The sequence below is a fragment of the Homo sapiens genome, chromosome 1 (genome assembly GCF_000001405.40).
Source record: "Homo sapiens chromosome 1, GRCh38.p14 Primary Assembly".
Lineage (NCBI taxonomy): Eukaryota > Metazoa > Chordata > Mammalia > Primates > Hominidae > Homo > Homo sapiens.
The window spans coordinates 185,160,551-185,183,377 of NC_000001.11; the positions used below are offsets into that span (position 1 = coordinate 185,160,551).

General features: G+C 38.5%; 1 protein-coding gene and 1 pseudogene across 15 annotated transcripts in view; one reads left to right on the forward strand and one right to left on the reverse strand.

Annotated features, from left to right (window-relative positions):
* The window catches only part of SWT1 (SWT1 RNA endoribonuclease homolog), a 134,722-nt gene that overhangs the window by 3,491 nt on the left and 108,404 nt on the right, over positions 1-22,827 (forward strand). For 8 of the 15 annotated variants that reach the window (XM_005245271.3, XM_047423246.1, XM_017001528.3 and 5 more), the window contains exons 2-7: positions 283-375; positions 6,022-6,102; positions 7,790-7,848; positions 13,822-14,563; positions 19,841-19,900; positions 21,396-21,528. In XM_005245271.3, coding sequence (XP_005245328.1) covers positions 292-375; positions 6,022-6,102; positions 7,790-7,848; positions 13,822-14,563; positions 19,841-19,900; positions 21,396-21,528 — 1,159 coding nt within the window. In that variant the 5' untranslated portion in view covers positions 283-291. Of the gene's footprint in view, positions 1-282; positions 376-6,021; positions 6,103-7,789; positions 7,849-9,249; positions 9,561-13,821; positions 14,564-19,840; positions 19,901-21,395; positions 21,529-22,827 lie in introns of those variants that run through there. The other 7 variants (NM_001105518.2, NM_017673.7, XM_017001527.2 and 4 more) reach the window with 2 other exon arrangements.
* Positions 10,489-11,182, reverse strand: RPL22P24 (ribosomal protein L22 pseudogene 24; annotated as a pseudogene).

A 22,827-nucleotide genomic window follows, 5' to 3' on the forward strand; every position in this document is an offset into this window, starting at 1 on the left:
AATTAGCCGGGCATGGTGGCACATGCCTGTAATCTCAGCTGCTCAGGAGGCTGAGGCAGGAGAATTGCTTGAACCCGGTAGGCAGAGGTTGCAGTGAGCTGAGATCATCCCACTGCACTCCAGCCTGAGCGATGGAGCGAGACTCCATCTCAAAAAAAAATAAAATAAAATAAAAAGTGATCATATTGTAAAACTCCAATCTTTATATAACTGAAAGAAGACAAATTTCTATTTTCTTTTTGAGTGCAAAAACAAATCCTATATTTTTAATGTTTATGTTAGCTTTTCAGGATGTCCAGCAAAGAATCCTGTGGGAAAAAAGAGACATCTCAGAGGAAAGACACCACCACCTCATCACCCAATTTTGGTGAAAAAGTAAGAATTTTGATTTACTGACCTAGAGATACATTTCAATTTATTTTTGCTTAATGAAAAAAATACACCTTACTATTATAATGATTTATGTAAATATTTTGTTCTGCTCAGCCGATCCAGGAAAAGTCATTTGCTTTTCCGGTTTTTTACTTGCATTGTTTTATTTATTCCTCACAACTGTATGAGGTGGGTACTATTATTCCAATTACACAGATGAAGAAACTGAGGCTTAGAGAGTAGTTTTATAGAGGTAAGTAATTTGCTTAGGTATTCCTGACTTCAATTCTAAGCCCCTTAAATCCCCTCATTCTTAGCGATAACTCAACATTGAACCATTTTCCATGTTTTCTCCTTTTTCAATTTCCTCAACGTTGGCTAGGATTGCATTCTTATCAGTCAGAATGGCCAGCGCTATGTGGCTGAGGCTAATATTGGGGAAGACATACTTACCATGTCTTTCTCTGTTCTCTCAGACACTACCTTAAGAAGTGTTTTGGGGCTGAGTGTGGTGAATCATACCTATAATCTTGGCACTTTGGGAGGCCGAGGCAGGAGGATCACTTGACCCAGGAGTCTAAGACCAGCCTAGGCAACATGGTGAGACCCTGTCTCTACAAAAAAAAAAAGCCAGACGTGATGGTGTGCACCTGTGTTCTCAGCTACTCAGGAAGCTGAGGTGGGAGGAGAATCACTTGAGCCACGGAGACCAAGGCTGAAGTGAGCTATGTTCATACCACTGCACTCCAGTCTGGCTGACAGAGTGAGATCCTGTCTCAAAAAAGAAAAAAAGAAGTAGTGTTTTGGTAGATGAAATTTAGGGTATCTCATTAATTGAGCTGGGTATTGTCTCCAGGAAGCAAAACTGCAAAACAAACAAAAAAACCATGTAATCAGTTTCATTATATACTCTCTGAATAGTATGGGTAGTTGATCATCAGTATTAGAGAGTGTTTATGCTGTGTTACTGTGCAAGATGAGAGACTAATCTGGCAAAGGTGAATATTCACAAAAAAAGTGATTTCTGTGGTGGCAGGTTAGTTCATAAGACTTTTTCATGACCTGGATGAAGTTCCAGATAGTGTGCTTTTTGGTGTTTGTTCCTTGCTTACTTACTAACTTTCTGATTACAAATTTGGTCTCGCAGGTATAGCAATATGTGGAAAGGCAACACTGAAGCATGGCCATACAGTACTCTGTGTAATTTATATACTCAGCATCTCCATTTGTCATTATTAACTGGCATGCTGTTTGCAATTAACCCCTCATTCCTTAAACCTACTTAAAACTACTAAACTAAAAAGGTTTAGTCAGACTTTTTCTTTCCGTAACTCCTATAGCAGTGGTTTCTGTGTTGCTAAATCCATTGGTCATTTCTAAGACCTCATCTGACATGGCATATCAGCAGTATTTGACATAGCTAATTACACCTTCTCCTCGAAACACTTTCACAAAGCTTTTTGTTTTTCTCTGAGTCTGCTTGCTAGGGAATTCACCTAGCTTTAGAGATACCATATTCTCCTGATTTTCCTCCTTATTGGTGACTGCTTCTCAGTGTCCTTTGCTAGTTCCTCCTCATCTTATAAAACTGTAATCTTTCAGGTACCCAGGCTTCGTTTTCCCAATTTAATAAATTGTGATTCCATTCTTTGAGTTGCTTAGGCTGAAATCCTTGTGATCGTGCTCTACCTGCACCTATCAGCAAATTCTATCAGCTTTCTTTTTATAATGTATAGGCATACCTTGGAGATATTTTGGGTTCAGTTCCAGACCAGTGTAGTAAAGCAAATAGTGCAGTAAAGTGAGTCACATGAATTTTTTGTTTATCCAGTACATATAAAAATTATGTTTATACTATACGGTAGTCTATTAAGTGTACAATGGCATTATGTCTAAAAAAATGTGCATATGTTAATTTAAAAATAGGCTCAGGCGGGAGGATCCCTTGAGCCCAGGAGTTTGAGGCTCAAGGGATCCTCCTGCCTGAGAATCGTGCCACTGCACATCAGCCTGAGCAGCAGAGCAAGACCCCATCTCTAAAAGTAGTAATAATAAATTTAAAAAATACTTCATTGCTAAAAAAATGCTAAAGATCATTTGAGTCTTCAGAGAGTCATAATCTTTGCTGCTGGAGGGACTTGCCGTGATGTTGATGGCTTGCTAACTGATCAGAGTGGTAATTACGGAAGGATGGGGTGCTGTGGCAGCGTCTTAAGACAGCAATGAAGTTTGCCACATTGACTCTCCTTTCACAAAAGATTGATCTCTGTAGCATGCAATTCAGTTTGATAACATTTTACAGCAGAACTTTCAAAATTGGAGTTAGTCTCTCAAACCCTATGTAATATTATTCTAAATCATTTGTTCTCATTTCAACAGTGTGCATGGCATCTTCACCAGGAGTAGAAATCAATCTCAAGAAACCAGTTTCATTGCTCATTTATAAGAAGCAACTCCTAATCCATGAAAGCTTTTTTTTTTTTTTTTTTGAAACAGAGTCTCACTGTGTCTCCCAGGCTGGAGTACAGTGGTGCGATCTTGGCCCACTGCAACCTCTGCCTCCTGGGTTCAGGCGATTTTCTTGCCTCAGCCTCCCAAGTAGATGGGACTACAGGCACCCGCCACCATGCCCAGCTAATTTTTTAATATTTTTAGTAGAGATGGGGTTTCACTGTGTTGGCCAGGCTGGTCTTGAATTCCTGACCTTGTGATCTGCCTACGTCGGCCTCCCAAAGTGCTGGGATTACAGGCGTGAGCCACCGCACCCAGCCCCCATTAAAGTTTTATTATGAGATGATAGAAATTCAGACACATTTTCAACCTCTACTTCAAATTCTAGTTCTCTTGCAGTTATTTTCTCCACTGAAGTCTTGAACTGCTCAAAGTCATTCATGAGGTTTGGAATCAACTTTTCCAAACTCCTGTTAATGTTGGTATTTTGACCTACTCCCACAAATCATGAGTGTTCTAAATGGCATCTAGAATGGGGAATCCTTTCTAGAAGGTTTTCAATTTACTTTGCCTGGATCCATCAGAGGAATCACTGTCTATGGCAGCTATATAGCCTTACAATATGTATTTTTTAAATAATCAGGTGTGAAAGTTAAAGTTAGACTCCTTGATCTATGGACTGCAGAATGGATGTTGCATTAGCAAGCGTGAAAACAACATTCATCTCTTTGTACATCTCCATCAGAGCTCTTGGGTGACCAGGTGCATTACCAGTGAGCAGTAATATTTTGAAAGGAATCTTTTTTTTTTTTTTCTGAACAGTAGGTCTCAACAGTGAGCTTAAGATATTCAGTAAATCATGCTGTAAACACATGTGCTGTCATCCAGGCTTTGTTGTTTCATTTCTAGAGCACAGGCAGAGTAGATTTAACATCATTCTTAAGGTACCTAGGATTTTCTGAATGATAAGTAAGTATTGGCTTCAACTGAAAGTCACCAACTGCATTAGCCCCTAACCAGAGTCAGCCTTTCCTTTGAAGCCAGGCATTGACATCTCTCTAGCTATGAAAGTCCCAGATGGCATCATCTTTCAATATAAGACTGTTTGTCTATGTTGAAAATCCGTTGTTTAGTGTAGCAACCACCTTCATCAATGATCTCAACTAGGTTTTTTGTATAACTTGCTGTAGCTTCTATGTTAGCATTTGCTGTTTCACCTTGTACTTTTATGTTACAGAGATGGCTTCATTCCTTAAACCTCATGAACCAACCTCTCTGCTAGCTTCCAAGTTTTCTTCTGAAGCTTCCTCACATCTGTGAGCCTTCATAGAATTGAAGAGAGTTAGGGCCTAGCTCTGGATTTGGCTTTGGCTAAAGGGAATGTTGTGGCTGGTTTGATTTTCTATCCAAACCACTCAAAACTTGCCCAATATCAGTAATAGGGCTGTTTTGCTTTCTTATTATTTATGTGTTCGCTGGAGTAGTGCTTTTAATTTCCTTCAATAACTTTTCCTTTGCATTCATAACTTGTCTTAATTGTTTGGCACAAGACTAGCTTTCAGCCTGTGTTGGCTTTTGACATACCTTCCTCAGTAAGTGTAATCCTTTCTAGCTTTGATTTAAAGTGAGAGACTTATAATTCTTCCTTTCACTTGAACACTTAGAGGTCATTGTTGGGTCATTAGTAGGCTTAATTTCAGTATTCTTTTGTCTCAGGGAATAGAGAGGCCTGAGGAGAGGGAGAGAGACTGGCGAATGGGTGATTGGTGAAACAGAACACATGCAACATTTATCAGTGAAGTTTGCTGTCTCATATGGGCAGTCTGTGGCGCCCCAAAGCAACTATAATAATAACATTAAAGATCATTGATCACAGGTCCCATAGCAGTATAACAACAATGAAAACATTTGAAATACTGTGAGAATTACCAAAGTGTGACACAGAGACATGAAGTGAGCACATACTGTTGGAAAAATGGTGCTAATAGACTTGCCATAAACCTTCAATTTGTAAATAATGCAATTATCTATGAAGTACAATAAAGCAAGCCACAATAAAATGATGTATACTGGTGTTCAGAGTCTGACTATCTCCTTTACTGCTATGTCCATGATCCAAGCACCTTGTTTTCCTAAATTATTGTAATAGTTTCCAAAATAACCTCCCTACTTCTGCATTTGCTTCCTTATAGTCTGTTCTCAACACACTAGCTAATGTGGTCCTATTAAAATATAAGTACAATCATGTTACTCCTCTGCTAAATACTTTCCAGTGTTTTTCCACTTCATCCAGAATAAAAGCCAAAATCCTTACCAGGGTTGACAAAGCCACCTCCTCTCCCCATCCCATCCCCCTGACACTCTCCTGACATAATTTGCTTTTCTACTCCATGGCCTCCTTGCTGCTGTCCCAACAAGCCAGGCATGTTTCTGCCTCTGGGGCTTTGCCCTTGCTGGCATCCCCTTTGAGCTGAAAAAACTCTTTCCCTCAGTATTCTAATGGTTTGTTTCTTCACTTTATTTAGGTCTCCATTCAGATGTCAGCTCGTACCTGGGGTCTGACTACTCTGTTTAAAATGGCGAGTCTTCCCCTCTGACTCCCAGCCTTTTCTGTTTCCTTTCTCTGCTTTACTGACTCCCAGCCCTTCCTGTTTCCTTTCTCTGCTTTATTTTTTTCCACAGCATCGTCTGACACACTAAATATATTACTTGTTTATTTGTAAATTCCTGTACTAGATTTTGACCTTCATGAAGAACTGTTATTATTTTTTCATTCCTCTCTCTCCACTGTCTAGAATGTCTTTGGTACATGGTAGGTACTTCAAACAAGTTTGTCCTAGGTCTGTTGAATTCAGAATCCAGTGAAAAATAAGTGGATGTGTGGTTTTGCATTGTAGAAGACTGACTCTCACCATGGCAGTGCCACCTCACAACAACCTTATCTGAGCTGTCAGCTGGCTTCCTGCTCTGATACCTATATCCCACCTCATCTCTATTTTGTGAGCATTTAGGGGTTCTGGCTTCTAGTTGAATCTCCCTTCCTTTTACCAAAGTTTGTGTATCTGTAAACATTGTTCCCCACCGAAGTTCATTATTGAATGTAAATGTTGATTTGTAATACTAGTGATGAAATAGTTCTGTTTATACTATGCTTTATTTTGTGCTTTTTAAAATTCATTTTCTTTATTGCATTCTTAGGACAAGAAAGAGAGAAAAACCCCAGCAAGTTCTACTAGTTCATCTTCTATAAGATCAGTTTCATCAGAAAAGAGAAAACTGGTGAGTGTCTAGATATAACTAACTAAAAGTTATTTATGCTAAAGTTTTAATCGACAGTGTTTGTGATATAAATTCCTCCTATACTTTTTGATAGCCAATAGAAAGTCAGTGTTGTTTTCTTTCTTCTACTCACCAAACCATTTATCAAGTTTTATTATTTCTTGTACTGTTAGGCCCTACCATGTGGGATTAGACAACTGTCATGGCTATAAATTTAGACAGTTCTTAAGTCCTCTCACATATATATGGTTTTATATATATATATTTTTTTTGAGACAGAGTCTTACTCTGTTGCCCCAGGCTGGAGTGCAGTGGTGCCACCTTGGCTCACTGCAACCTCTACCTCCTGTGTTCAAGCGATTCTCCTGCCTCAGGCTCCTTAGTAGCTGGGATTACAGGCGTGCACCACCAGGCTCAGCTAATTTTTGTATTTTTAGTAGAGAAAGGGTTTTACCTTGTTGACCAGGATGGTCTCAAACTCCTGACCTCAAGTGATCTGCCCGCCTCAGCCTCCCAGAGGTTATATTTGTCTCCTTTTGAGGTAGCCAAGGCAGATACATTGTTTGCATTTTCAGATTCAGAAATCGAAGTCTAGAAGGTTAAGTGACTTTTCCAAGGCCACAAAACTGTGTACAGCAACAGAGCCAAGTCCAGAGTTCTTTCCACTGTCATACAAATAGTTAGAAACAGTGACAGCAGATTAAACACAATACGCTAATCCATAGGTTAGTGGTAATGTACTTAGAACATTCAGGTTGAAGTTATGTACATATCCAGGATAGCTACATAGTTGTGGTGGGTATAAGATAAGGTAGTGGAAGTTCCAGGGATGCAGAATTATGTTTTAAGAATTTACTTGTTTTCATATAATTAAGCTGCGGTTTCTATTTATTTTTGCAATATTAACCTTCTTGAAACACCGATTTCATCCCATTTCTCCTCTGCTGAAAATCTTTACTCACTATTTGCCATTCAGGGCTCTCTCAAATTTGTTCATACCTTAACTATCCAGTTTTCTTTTTTTTGTTGTTTTCCCTTCTTCCTTGAAAGAGGCCCTCTTGCCTTTCGCTAGGCTGGTTTATTTTCTTTCTGCTGAATTTATACCAGTTATCCTCAGTTTCTCAGAATGCCTTCTTTTACTCGTCTTTCAAGCTTTATTATTTATTGTTATTTTGTCCACCTGTTTTCCTAGGTACTTTTCCTCTTTAGGTGGTTGGTATTTTGAACTGTTTTAGCACTTTTTGACTCTTCTGCTTTGACACTTACTTACATCATTATAGTAGGTTATTTGTACATGTTCTACTTCTCGTCTTTATTATTTTATGTAAAACTATAAGCTCTAAGCTCTTTAGGACATGGATTATATTTTATGTCTCTCTTACCTTTCTTGTGCTTGGCCCAGTTTCCTCAGAGTACGTAGAGAGATAGGATGGTAGCGTAGAGAGAGTCAGACAGATCTATTTACAGATGACAGATGACTGCTCTGCTGTGGACTTGCTCTGTGACTTTAAGGAAGATGCCTACCTCTGTTTGAGTTTTGTGAAACGGGGATGATGATAATATCCATCTCACCGGATTACTGGAAAGATTAAGTAAAAGTATTGTGTCAGCCTATTCACTATCATAAACTGTGGAAAAAAATATGTACCAGTGCACAATTTATGTGTCCTTTTTTTATTTATTTCAGAAATCAGATCATACAGATGTTCTGTACTATAATATAAAAAGAAGACAAGGACTGAAAAGGTAAATTTCTCCTTTTTCTTTTTACTGTTTTGGTTTAGAATTATGAGACTAAATATTTGGATTTAAAAATTTTTTTTATTTACTTTGAAGAGGACTGCTTTGCATGCAAATATCTCTAGCTATATAACTGATTATGATTATAGAATTGTCTTAATATTAACTATATTTAAGAAAAAGTTGAGTGAAATAAAAATCTATGAAAACTATTGTGTAAATGACACTCAAATGTGCATTTTAATCTCAAGTGATTTGATTTTGGCACATGATTGTAACATGCGTAACTTCATTACATACACTAGTGAAGTAAGTTATGAGGCTAATTTAGAGATTTTGGATAAATCATTTTCATATATTACCCGTGAAGAGAGTATGTATCTTATAGAATTGATATGGCTTTAAAACCGTGTTGATTAACCAGTATGTGATTATAGCTAGAGAACTTGGGGAATGATGGTTGGAATAATGGAAATTATTATTCTTTAATTTCTGCACTTTTTGGATAAAAATTTCAGTGAAATTTTGGTGCAGAAAGTACTTGCTGCTAATGGGGATAAATAAGTATACAAAGTTATAACGTGTGATAAAACTTGGTAAGATCAAGGTTTCTCCAAAAATAAGAAGTTAAGGGAAAACAAGTAAGATGGCATTAAATATTACAAATAAAAGCTCTGCTTCCCAAACAATCTCAGTTAGTGTTTGCTAAAAACAAAAAAATTCAACTCGCCTCTGTCTTTTGTTCACTTTTTCTTCTGAATCATCTCCTGATACTTTGCTTCTGTGTTATTCTCTGTTGAAGTATATTCTTGCACTAATTTCATATTATGTTGACTATCCCTTGCTACATTTTTTGAACCATTTTAATGCCTTTTACACTGATATCCTTTTTTTTTTTTTTTTTAAATTTTAAGTTCTAAAACACTATTTGACTTTAAACTAGTTACCTTTTGTTTAAGGACACATTTTTTGGCCCTTGATATTATATCAATATATACAAGAGGGTAAAATATAAAATGTTTTATAAAAATCTCCGTATTAATTCAGCTCTAGAGAAGTTTCTGAAATTGGTGTGCAAACAGTGAAAGCCATAATACAGATGAAAAATTAGAGATAATTTTATCATTTGGAAAGGCGGTTACAGTGCACCATTACTGTAATTCCTGTTCCATGATTTGAATACATAGAAATGTATTAGCAGTAAAAATATAAGCAAGAAGCTGGGCACAATGGGTCATACCTGTATTCCCAGCACTTTGGGAGGCCGAGGTGGGAGGAAGGCTTGAGGCCAGGAGTTTGAGACCAGCCTGGGCGATGTAGTGAGACCCCATCTCTACACACACAATTTTTTTTTCAGAACTTAAATGCTAACTTCAGCCCAGGATTAATTTTTTTTTTTTTTTACAGCTAAACTAAAAATTACTACATGGGAACATCAATGCAACACACAAGTAAAATTTGTAAACTCAAGGCACAAACTTATAGTTAATGAGTTAATGATCATGGTAAGGGACATTGCCAAAGAGCTATTGATGCCTCAGTGAAGTCTGAAAGAAACTGCCTTCTCTGAAGGCAGAGAAGAAATATGCAAGCAATTCTGCTTCAAAGAAATTTGCACAGAAAGAGAAAATGCTAGAGCCGTTACCATAAGTGAAATTGCAAAGCCTCAGCATGTTCAACTCAATCCACAAAGCACCAAATGTTAAATTGGAGCCAAGGTAGAATTTGAACATTCAATTTTCAGCTTTGCAACTCTCAGAGCACAACAGTTTCAGGTGTGGAAACCAACTGTAGGCAAGCTCTTTTAAAAACCTGAATTTTATACACCGTAAATTCTAAAACAGAGCAGACACTTCTGCGTTATTGTTCCAGTTTCTGAAGGGCACCACAAGGCATCAGGGTCTCTTTCAAAGTCACTGGCTGCAACAATTCTGTCTTCCTAACTTTGGTAGCCCCCTCTGGTGGTTCTCTAGCCTTTGTACGCACTGAGGCACACCACTGTTTGTACAATGACTTCTGACATTAAATCCTGTCATGGCCTAAGTAGCATGAAGCAGCTGTTCCCTGGGTACCTCATGTCTCCTTGGCATGGGAGGTTTCCCAGTGACTTCTTCGTGCCCCCATTCAGGAGAGCCTCCAGAGCTCTCGGCACAAAGGGCCCCTAACTCTGGGTCCCACACAGGAGGCCACATCTGGAAGCTCTATTCCTCTAGCTCCCTCTGCTGGAAACCAAAGTGACAGTTTGTTGCAAAGACCTGTAGAAACAGATTATGTATAAACTCATTCTTGTACGCATTTACTTAATTTAGAACCTGGGACTTTTTAACAGTCGTTGTCCAGACCTTTTATGGTGGGTGATGGACTATGCAGCAGTGCTGAAGGAGCACTGTTTCTTTCTATAGGACTATAGGAAGAAAAGGATTAGTATACATAATTGTGTACATCAAGACAAATTTATAATAAAAAAAGAAAGATGAAGGGCCCAGAAACCTGCATTTTATTGACACTGTCATTTTCCACAGGGAATCTTAGGCAGACGTCACCTGTTTTCTTTTAAGTAATGAGAGAAGCCCACTTGTATTCCTGAATCATTTTTTGAGAAAAGCACCAGAGACGATTGACAGTCACACTTTTTAAAATAAAACAGTGACTACCTCTAGCCTACATCTCCCCACCCTCATCTACCTGCCCAATGGTTGTCAGTTCCCCTAAAGTCACCGTCTCCTTCTATTCTGGTATTACCATTAGAATTGAAATTTTCAAACAGGAAAAAAAAAAAAGTCTAGTTACAAATGAGTGCATGGCATCCCGAATGAAGCCCTTTGACTGTGATTTCTAATTTTCTGTTCAATCCATACTGCACAGATACAAGGATGAACCACCATTTTGGTTCCCAAGTTTTATTCAAGAATTCGTATAAAATATTCCACATAAGTGAATTTTAATCCTCGTCTTCCTCCTCTTGTTTGTTCTGGTTAATTTGGAAGTAACGTAATTCATAACCCCTTTTGCTGTTAGCAGTTACGCACGTCCAATCACGTAGATTGTTCTTCTTCAAATATTTCTTATTTCAAATACCTTTTGGGAAGAGGCATCTCGGAAGTCATGGTGATCTTGCCCTTGCTCCTTTTGATCACAACCCCTCCAATGACATTCCTAGCTTTTCTGCTCACTTTGATCCTCTCTTGCAAAAACTGCTCAAAATTGGCAGCATCCATGATCCGTCTTCTATGGGGTGGGTGCAATCAAGAGTGAACTTCAGAACCTGCTTCTTTTTTTTTTGCCCCCCTTTACCACAAGGTTTTTCATGGATGCCATGGTGGCAGTGAAGGCAGAAAGGGCATTTTTTTTTTCTGTTGCCTAGGCTGGAGTGCAGTGGCACAGTCTCGGCTCACTGCAGCCTCCAACTCTTGGGCTCAAGTGATCCTCCCACTTCAGCCTCCCAAGTAAGTAGCTGGGACTACAGGCGCATGCCACCACTGCACTTCAGCCTGGGTGATAGATTGAGACTCTGTCAAACCAACAAAGACATACCTACATTCATGCATGCATATATGATGAAAACTCAGGTGAAACTCCTATAAAAACTCTGTTTATGGTTTGCTCTTACATAATTAATTATTTGAGAAGTCACTTGTTAAATGTGTCTCTCTTGCTGGGCTGTAACCTAATTAAGGGTAAAGACTCTATCTGCTGTGTCCTCTACTGCCTCTTGGGTGCCTACCAGAGTGATGGCACTGAAAAGGCACACATTTACTGATATAAATTAATAGATTGTGTTTGACATTTTTCCCCTTTTTTTCTCACTACAAAGTAATATCTACTTTTATTAAGCAGGAAAATATAATTATCACCTCTAGCTATTGCTGTTTCTAACATTTTAGCACCTTTCTGGCCTTTTTACTATGCTTGTTTAAGATGTTGAGACCATATTATATGTACAGATTTGTATCCTGCTTGTTTTTGATTTTCAATATGTTTTATGTCACTGAAGACTTTTCATAAACATCCTTTTAAAAAACTGTGATATTCCGTCATATGAATATGTCACTTTTTAAAGTCATTTCCAAAATTTTAGCAGTTACTTTGTACCTGATTGTTTTGCTATTATAAGTAATCCTGAATTAAATATCTTTTAATATTTTTTTCATGTGTGATTTTCTTCACCTTGGTATGGTTTCTAAAATGAGAATTTCAGATGTAAAAAAATGACCATTTTTAGAGTTTTTAATTTATATTCACATTTCTTTGTGGGACTGTTATGTTGTTTTACATTTCTACCAGCAACATGTGAGAGTGTCCATTTTACAACCCCTTGCGAGTATTTGATGTTATTGTAAAATCTTTGCTAATTTGATAGAAGAAAATGGTATGGGCCAGCTGCGGTGGCTCACACCTGTAATCCCAGCACTTTGGGAGGCCGAGGTGGGCAGATCACGAGGTCAAATCGAGACCATCCTGGCCAACATGATGAAACCCCGTCTCTACTAAAATACAAAAAACTAGCCGGGCGTGGTGGTGTGTGCCTGTAGTCCCAGCTACTTGGGAGGCTGAGGCAGGGGAATCGCTTGAACCTGGGAGGCGGAGGTTGTGGTGAGCCAAGATTGCACCACTGCAGTCCAGCCTGGCGACAAAGCGAGACTCCGTCTCAAAAAAAAAAAAAAAAAAAGAAGAAAATGGTATGTTATTGTTATTATTAGCATGTCTGTGATTGCTAGAGAAGTCAAACTTTTTAAAAATGTTTATTAGCTGTTTTCTTTTATTAATTTTCTGTTTATGCCCTATTCTAGAATCTTAGTAGTTTTTGGTGAGCTTTTTATCTACTAAGGCTAGTAAGCTTATTAACATTATTTTGCTAGAAGTTAGTACATCTAACAAATACCATTTCCTAGTTCTTTAAATTTTTATTAATTTTTAATACGCTAAAGTTTTAAAGTAAATAGTCACATATTATCAGTGTTATCCTTTGTTATTTCTCCCACTGTTTTTAAGTTTGGGAAGTTCTCTATTAAGAAATCAGGTTGGGCGTAGTGGCTCATGCCTGTAGCCTCAGCACACTGGGGAGGCTAAGGTGGGCAGATTGCTTGAGCCCAGGAGTTCGACCAGCCTGGGCAACATGGTGAAACCCTGTCTCTACCAAAAAAAAAAAAAAAAAAAAATACAAAAATTAGCCAGATGTGGTAGTGTGCATCTGTAGTGCCAGCTACTCAGGAGGCTGAGGCAGGAGGATCTCTTGAGCCTGATATGTTGAGTTTGGAGTGAGCCAAGATCGCGCCACTGCACTCCAGCCTGGTGACAAAGTGAGGCGCTGTCTCAAAAAAAGAAAAAGAGAAATCGGATAGGCCGGGGTACAGTGGCTCACACCTGTAATCCCAGCACCTTGGGAGGCCGAGGCAAGTGGATTGCTTGAGCCCAGGAGTTTGAGACCAGCCTGGGCAACATAGCAAAACCTTGTCACTACAAAAAAATTACAAAAATTAGCTAGGCATTGTGGCATGCTCCTGTAGTCCCAGTTACGTGGTAGTCTGGGAGGTAGAAGGATTTCCTGAGCCTGGGAGGTTGAAGCTGCAGTGAGCCATGTTTGCATCACTGCACTCTAGCCTAGGCAACAGAGTGAGAACCCGTCTCAAAAAAAATGAAATCACACATACGTTCTGTTTTTCCTCACTGGTTTTTAAGGGTTTAATATGAAGCACAAAATTATTATGATAATAATAATTATTTTACACTTAAGCATTTAGTCCATTTGGAATTTATGTTGTTTGTTACTATTTAAAGTTGTAATTTTTTTTTCCAAATAGCAAACTAATTATTCTAACACCATTAAGTGAGTAATCCTTTCCACTTCATTCTTAATGTAGCTATTTCTACTTTTTATGAAGCTTAATGTCAGCCCAATTCTGTTATTCTAACTAAAATGATAGAGTGCAACATTATGTATAATTATAATGTAACCTAGGTTTCTGTGCTGTTTTACAGATTGAGTGTAGAAATTGACACTCTCAGAAGGAGACCAAAAATCGGTTCTTCATCCCAAAGACCTATTAAACTCAAAGAAGCATCATATTCAAATGATAATCAAATTATTTTGCAGAGTCCTTCTTCAAATGGAACTAAAAAAGACATACATAAATGTGTAGACTTTAAACCTAAAGATATCAAATTGACAAATGCTGGGAGCAAGCTTGACCATGGAATTAAAAGCCTTAGTAGTCCTAAGATTGCCAGTGATGTGAAACCTAAAGCCGAAGGCCAGGCAAGTGAAAATAAATGGTCTCATTTACTTGTTCAGAGAGAGAAGATGAAAGAACTCAAGAAAGGAAGAAACAGTAAATTTAGAGACAATTCTGAAAAATGTGTCTTAGAGAAATGGAAGAGAAATCAATTTTCTCAGGATTATAACTCCAACAAGATAATTAAGGAACCCTTGGGATCTAGAAGACAGAAGATCAGTTTCAAAATCCCTATAAAATCCCGTGACACCCTCCAGAAACTTGTAGAAGAAAATGTCTTCAACATAGATTCTAATAATTCGAAGACTAAGCAGGAAGAAAGAGAATACCTGGAAAGCTCCCAGGTTTCATTAAATGTGACTAGGCAGAAAACTGAACATTTACTTTCAGATTTTACATATAAGCGGACTGTTCATGAGTGGAAACGAAAACATCATTATGACCATCAAGAAAGTAATGATTCACATTCTAGGGAAAACCTAACCCAGGTAAGGTAGTAAAAAATGAAGAATATAGGTTTTAACTGAGAGTTTATTAATATAGTTAAGTTTTTTCTGTATTTCTATATTTTTTTCTGTTTTTTTTTTTTTTTGTTGTTGTTTGTTTTTTGTTTTTGAGACAGGGTCTCACTCCGTTGCCCAAGCTGGAGTGCATGCAGTGGCACGATCCTGGCTCACTGCAGCCTTGACCTCCTGGGTTCAAGCAATCCTCCTGCCTCAGCCTCCCTAGTAGCTGGGACTATAGGCACACATCACCGCACTGGGCTAACTTTGGTGTTTTTTGCAGAGATGAGGTTTCACCATGTTGCTTAGGCTGGTCTTGAACTCCTGGGCTGAAGCAGTTCGCCCCTGCTCAGCCTCCCAAAGTGCAGGGATTACAGACGTGAGCCACTGCACATGGCCTTTTTAGTTGTTTCTATTACTGATGATAATCATAGATGGCTGATTCAAATTTATTCATGAAGATATGTGTTGGTTTCTTTATTTTACTCTCTTTAATTCCAACTTTTTTAGGAAGATATTTTGGCAGGTATCAAGGATTCATAATAGAAAGGAATGTGTAAAAATGTGGTGAGAAGCAGTTATAGATAGTCCTTTGAAAAAAGCATTGTATGCTGGAGAACACTCGGGACAATATTCTGAATAGTCTTTAAACAGTTTATTTTTTTCAGTGTCACCGTGTACCAGGCACCACAATAAAATAGCTTGTAAGAGATAACACAGTTTGTTTTCAGGGACTTATTCAAGTGAAGAGAGACACAAGCAATTTCCTTAAATAGGAAAAGTATAATACCTATCACTTAATAAGAGAATACACAGCAGGGGATTAATATAGCTTTGGTACATCATGAAAGAATTAGTTTAGAAAGGTATACTGGAGGGGACTGGATACAATGGCTCACGCCTGTAATCCCAGTGTTTTGGGAGGCCCAGGCAGGCAGATTGTCTGAGGCCAGGAATTCAAGACCAGCCTGGGCAACATACCGAGACGGGTCTCAACAAAAACATAAAAATTAGCTGGGTGTGGTGGCGTGAGTCTGTGGTCCCAGCTATTCAGGTGACTGAGGTGGGAGGATCACTTGAGCCCAGGAGCTCAAGGTTATGGTGAGCTGATCATGTAACTGCACTCCAACCTAGGTGACAGAAAGAGACCTTGTCTCCAAAAAAAAAAAAAAAAAAAAAAAAAAAAGATTTACTGGAGGCTGGAGGGAGTAACATTTAAACAGACCTAAAGAATGAGTCGAAGTTACTTAAGTGGAGGTGAAGTGAGGTAGAATGGGAGAAGCCGGGATATTTTAGGCAGAGGGAGCTACATGAGCAGGGATCTAGGCTAGAAAGCTTGGCACATCTATTTTGCTTTAAAATTATGTAATGTAATTGCCATTTATGGACTACTTTGAGAACCTAATCTCTATAATTTTGTTTCTATGTCAAATAAAGTTACTTATCTTCAAGAGAACTTTCAGAACTGTGGAACCTTGGAATTTTAGAACTTCAGAAATTCTGAAATGTAGAGACCACTGATAAACAGGGATGGTTAAGCCTACCTGCTTTTAGGTATTAAGACTGTGGACTGTGGCCAGGCCTGGTGCCTCACACCTGTAATCCCAGCACTTTGGGAGGCCGAGGTGGGCGGATCACGAGGTCAGGAGATCGAGACCATCCTGGCTAACACAGTGAAACATCATCTCTACTAAAAATACAAAAAATTAGCTGGGCATGGTGGCAGGCACCTGTAGTCCCAGCTACTTGGGAGATTGAGGCAGGAGAATGGCGTGAACCTGGGAGGCGGCCCTTGCAGTGAGCCAAGATCGCGCCACTGCACTCCAGCCTGGGCGACAGAGCAAGACTCCGTCTTAAAAAAAAAAAAAAAAAAGACTATGGATTGCAATGGTAAGATATTTCTTACGAAAAATGGAGGAATTATAACTAAGGAGGCCAGAAGAGCTTGGGAATTAGTATTTTTAGTTTAAGTGAACTGGAAGGGGCCCAAAGAGGGCAAGAATTGAGTTTGAATTGAGTTTGTTTTCACTGCTTTCTTAAAGGAAAGAACCTCCAGTTTTTCTTCTTGTGTTATAACCATTTCTCTAGAGTAGAATGAAAGAAAGGAACTTGAAGTTGCCAGTATGTTCAGTGATCATCATTGTGTCATTGCCTGGTTTTCCCATTGTGCTATACATCTAAGGAATAGCATGAGAAATCTCTGCAGGGCGTCGTATGGTTTCTTTTGGTCTCTATGTAGAATTACTACACAAACCAAAAGAGGTACATAGCAAGAATATTAAGTTGCAGAAGAAGCAGTTTTTCCATGACCACTTTCCAGTTATTGGAATTTAGACTCTTTATAAACTGTTCTCAGATAGCAGCATTATCAGGCTTAAAGTCATTTAGACACAGAAACAGCAAGTAAATATTGTCCTTATCTTGTGTATATTATCTTCAGCATATTATTGACAGCAGATAATCATCTTAATACCCTGTTTGTTTTTATGTTTTACCCACTAATTCCTCAGTAGATAATTATTTTCCTAAAATAATGAGTATACTTTACAAGGAAAATAATTGTATTTTCTTTTTCTGGATTTAGTTATGCTTTCTAAAGGAAAAATAACTCTTTTGTTTCTTAGGTTTTATAGTTCTTTGATATAGACCCCTCTCAAATTGCAAACCTCCCCCTCATTGAAAATTAATGTCCTAGAGATTTATAGTTTATCGGCTACTTTTAAAAACAGCATCACATTTAATTCTTACAAGACTAAAGTAGGAATTCGTTCATTTATCAAACATCTATTAAAGGTACCTAGTATGTATCAGGCATTTTTCTAGGTACTAGGTATTTAGAAATGAGTAAGATGATTATTAGCCTCAAGAAGTTCCCAGGGAGGCAGACTAGTAAGTAAAAAAAATATGATTGTACTATAGTGAAGTAAATACCACAGTCCTACAAATTGGGTGTGATGTTAGTATAAATCTCCGGGTGAGTTAAAGAAGGGCTCACTAAAGTGGTGGTTCTAAAACCTCATCTCGAAGGACATGTGGGGTGAGGACTAGATATGCTGTCCAGCTAGGGTAGAGGGCCAGTGTATGTAATGGCACAGAGTTGTAAAATTGCATGGAAGGAAGGTACATGAGCACATAGGTTGTCAGTATGACTAGAGTCAAGATGGGTAGAGAATCTATAGGAAAGGAAGTTGGAGAGAAAGCCAGGGTCTCTAGACAATGGATGATTTCGTATCATGGGAAAGACTGGTTTTTATCTCGTAGATGGAAGAGAGCCACTGAACCACAGTCAGGGAAATAATATAATTGTGTTTTCCATTTGGAATCACTTTGGTAGATAGAACCATTATTATCTTTGTTACGATATTCCCTTTTGTCATTCTCATGAAAGGCTTTATCCCAACCTATGTATTTGATAAGGCATGGTGGGGGAGGCAAACAGTTAAATGCATTAACTTTTCTGGATTGTTCGGTGGTGGAAAATTCATTGTAGTCACTGTAGGTGGCCCATGAATAGAGAGAGCAAAGGGTAATAGTAACCAAAGGAAGAGAATAAAGAGATGTAGAATGTCAAAAGCCACAAGTTCTGTTAATAATCTCTGGCTTGTTTGGCACTTCTTAAAGAGAACTTTAAAGATCAGTGAGATTTAAAGTTATATGGAGAAGGGATTATGACTCTCAGGGTCATGGAATAGTAAAACTATAATGAGCCTATGTGTGTGAAGTGTGTTGTTATATCATGTGAGGTTTGATGTTGGGTGGAAGCTGATTTCCCAGTAAAGCATTTAGCCTGAAAGTTCAGGCGGAAGCTGAATTCTCAGTAAAGCATTTCTACGTATGATGTACTTGTTTAAAGAGTGTTTGTGTGGGCGCAGTGGCTCGTGCCTATAATCCCAGCACTTTGGGAGGCTGAGGTGGGCAGATCACTTGGGGTCAGGAGTTTGAGACCAGCTTGGCCAACATGGTGAAGCCCTGTCTCTACTAAAAATACAAAAATTAGCTGGGTATGGTGGCGGGCCTGTAGTCCCAGCTACTTGGGAGGCTGAGGCAGAAGAATCGCTTGAACCCGGGAGGTGGAGGTTGTAGTGACCTGAGATCATGCCACTACACTCCACCCTGGGCAACAGAGCGAGACTCTGTCTCAAAAAAAGAAAAGAAGAGTGTTTGTAGTTCATACCAGAAATAGATTTCCGTAAAGTACATGTTAGTTTAGAGTTACTTTGGAGAATTCTTAGAAGGTTATAATTCATTCGTTCTTTTGCTGAGCTTCCTGTCACCTGTATGTAGGGTCAGGTAGGTCTCATCCACTCAGCAGAAATGCCAGTGGAAAATTGGAATTTGGAGGGAGATTTTCAGACTTTGTTTGAAGACAAAATATAAAACAGAAACCCCTGGTGCTCTAACTACATATAATATAACCGTGCATTGTTCAGCTTTTCTTTTTTAGCCTTATTGTAATCCTCAAGTTCCTTCTGTTGTTTTATCATGTCACTTGTAGAAATGACTTAGTTGCTCCTGGATGAAAATTTTTCACCACTGAAGGCCAACTTGTTTACCTTTGCATTCATTATTTCTCTTTTTTTGGGGTGGCATGTAATTTTATTCTTAGAATATAGTATTTTTATGCATCTGTATATGAAGAATTCTACCATGTTTCATGACTTGATAAAATGGAGCTTCTCTATTCTAGGGACAGTTTCTCATCTGGAGGCAATTTTGCCCCTCAGGGGACATTTGGCAATGCCAGGAAACATTTTCGATTGTCAAGATTGAGGTTGGGGCTGGCACTACGGCTCACGCCTGTAATCCCAGTACTTCGGGAAGCTGAGGCAGGTGGATCACTTGAACTCAGGATTTCGAGACCAGCCTGGGCAACATGACAAAACCCCATCTTTACAAAATATACAAAAATTAGCCGGGTGTGTTGGTGTGCCTGTGGTCCCAGCTACTCAGGTGGCTGAGGCGGGAGGATCGCTTGAGTCCAGGAGGTTGAGGCTGTGGTGAATCACAGTTGTGCCATTGCACTCCAGTTTGGGTGACAGAGTGAGACCCTGTCTTTAAAAAAAAAGTTTGGGAGTAGGGGTAGGTGGGTAGTACTACTGACATTCTGGAGGATAGAGGTCAGTGATGCTGCTAACCATCCTGCAATATACAGGGCAACCCCTAAAGTGAATTATCTGACCCTGAAGGTTAATAGTGACAAGGTTGAAAAACCCTATTTAGGTTATGCTTTATTCTTAGCTAATGAAATTACTTTCATTTCAGAGTTTTGAAGCACCATGTTGTTCCGTGTCATCTGAAAGTATCCAGGATGCAGATCAAGAGGTTATTGATATTCTTGTTTACTTTGATATTTTTAATGAAATTAAGTCAGTTCCTACTTTTAATAAAAAATAATGACTGTAGAAACCCTGATAATATGAAAATAACAATGATGTCTCTATTTAAATCAATATGTAAGGTTTTATGAAGTCATCCAAAACTATTCAGAAAAGTATACTTTAGTACTTTTTACTTTTGTTTCTAGTAAGGTTATCTATTGTGAACAAAGAGCATGAAACCAGTGGCCCACAAGTAATCTGAATTTTGATTTAATATTATGACACTTTCCCTGTTTATGCCTAGGGTTGCCAAAATGCAGTAGGACATTAACATGTTTTTACTTCATTTTAAAAATCATCAATAAGATGAAAACATTATTCAATGAAAATGAGAGTACATGAGTGTTTATCTTTTTACCTGTTGCTTCATTTCCCAACCAGAGTCCCCTGACTGATCTTCATAGAATTTTATGTTGACTTGTCCTAAGTTAAGATGAGATTCGTGGAACACTTTGTAATTGTCTTTTTAAAGACTTTCAGGCAAAGCACCGTGGCTCAAGCCTGTAATCCCAGCACTTTGGGAGGCCAAGGCGGGTGGAGTACCCGAGGTCAGGAGTTCGAGACCAGCCTGGCCAACATGGTGAAACCCTTTCTCTACTAAAAATACAGAAATTAGCTGGGCATGGTGGTACATGCATGTAATCCCAGCTACTCAGGAGGCTGAGGCAGGAGACTTACTGGAGCCCGGGAGATGGAGGTTGCAGTGAGCCAAGATCATGCCACTGCACTTCAGCCTGGCTGACAGAGCAAGACTGTGTCTCAAAACAAAACAAAAAACTTTCAGACTATATTAATTGATTTTTATTTGTGACAGTCAATTGTATTTTTCTGTTTTGAGGTGCTCCTTGATAGAAGAAAGATGTCTCACCTCTGATCTAAAGCTAGACTGTATTTTCATTTCTTTGTGTCACAATACATCAGAGAAGTATTTCTGTGAAGTGAGAATGGTTTTAAGATCTAGATTTCAGTTTATGATGGTTCATAACAATCTTAGAAATCTCAAGAAGAATGCTTACTGTCAAGATAAAAAAAATTTGACTCCTAAAATGAAGTGAGGATTGGAATGAGAATGAACTTACTTTAATGTCTAGGTATTTGGCTCTGTGCAAGGAGCTTCACCTAGCTTATTTCATTTATTCCTCACAAAAATCCTAAAGGAAATAGATATTAAAGATTCCTATTTTGTGAATTAACAAACTGAGACCCAAAGTTGTTAAATAATTTGCTTGCATAGGTTATGGAGGTAAGAAGAAAACTATTTTGAAAACCACGTGTGTGTTTATAAATCTTTGTTCTTTTACTATGCTCCTTCAGAGTTTTATAAAATTTTTTCTTTCCATAAACCATCTCAAGTGAATTAATTAAGAATTAATTGCTTTCCTCTCTTGTCAGTCTGCAAAGTAACTCAAAATATTTCACTGGGGTCTTTTACACTTTAGATGCAGATAGTAGAAGAGCTTCATGCTGCACGTGTGGGAAAAAGTGTGGATTTACCTGGAGAGTTAATGAGTATGGAAATTGACTTAGAAGATGATGTACATTCCTCCTCTGGTATACCCTATATGTTGATGTGTATGCTCCCCTATGCTTTCCTAAAAATTAATGTGCCAATATTCAATTTTTATAATATTTAGATGAAAAATGTTAAAATGTGCTCACTTGAAATGAATGATAAAGTAATAGTTTATTTTTTAGGTACAGGAATTAGATCCAATATTTGTCTTATTGGTTTTACATATTTCATATTATTGGATAGTTAGATATTTTTCTCTTTTTCTGTCAAGAGGTAGTAATTAGAATTATGAGTTGTCTTTTATTCTTGCTGTTATAACTTTAACAATTTCAATGATGTAAAGCACTGATCAGAAATAATGCAGAATAGCTGGTGCAGTGGCTCATGCCTGTAATTCCAGCATTTTGGAAGGCTGAGATGGGAGGATTGCCTGAACCCAGGAGTTCAAGACCAGCCTGGGCAGCATAGTGAGACCTCCTGTCTACAGAAAATAAAGTTAGCTAGGTGTGATGGGATGCGCCTGTAGTCGCAGCTACTCAGGAGGCTGAGGTGGGAGGATTGCTTGAGCCTGGGAGGTTGAGGCTGCAGTGTGCCAAGATTGTGCCACTGCATTCCAGCCTTGGTGACAGAACAAGACCCTCTCTCTCTCAAAAAAAAAAAAAAAAAAAAAAAAGAAAGAATGCAGATTGCTTGAAGGTATTATATTTATTGATTTCTTATTCATGTTGTGAAATTTTGATCATTTTTTTTGCTACTGGGAGAAGATAATGATAGAGATTATCCAAAATCTATCAGTGTACTGTTTCAAATTCCATTTTTAAAAATGGCAATGCTGACCGGGCACGGTGGCTCACGCCTGTAATCCCAGCACTTTGGGAGGCCAAGGAGGGTGGATCACCTGGGGTCAGGAGTTCGAGACCAGTCTGGCCAACATAGTGAAACCCCATCTCTACTAAAAATACGAAAAATTAGCTGGGCATGGTGGCCCATGCCTGTATTCCCAGCTACTCAGGAGGCTGAGGCAGGAGAATGGCTTGAACCTGGGAAGCAGAGGTTGCAGTGAGCCAAGATTGAGCCACTGCATTCCAGTCTGGGCAACAAGAGCAAAAATCCATCTCAAAAAAAAAAAAAAAGTAATGCTACCTTACATTCACATTGCAGTTTTCATCTTTCAAGTGTTTTCCTATGTATTATCTGATCCTCAAAATGGTCCTATGCAATAACAATGCTAGAATTATTATGTTTTTTCTTTTTTTGTTTGTTTGTGGGTTTTTCTTTTGTTTTTGTTTTTTTGAGACGGAGTGTCCTTCTGTCATCCAGGCTGGAATTGGAGCTATCTCCACTCACTGCAACCTGTG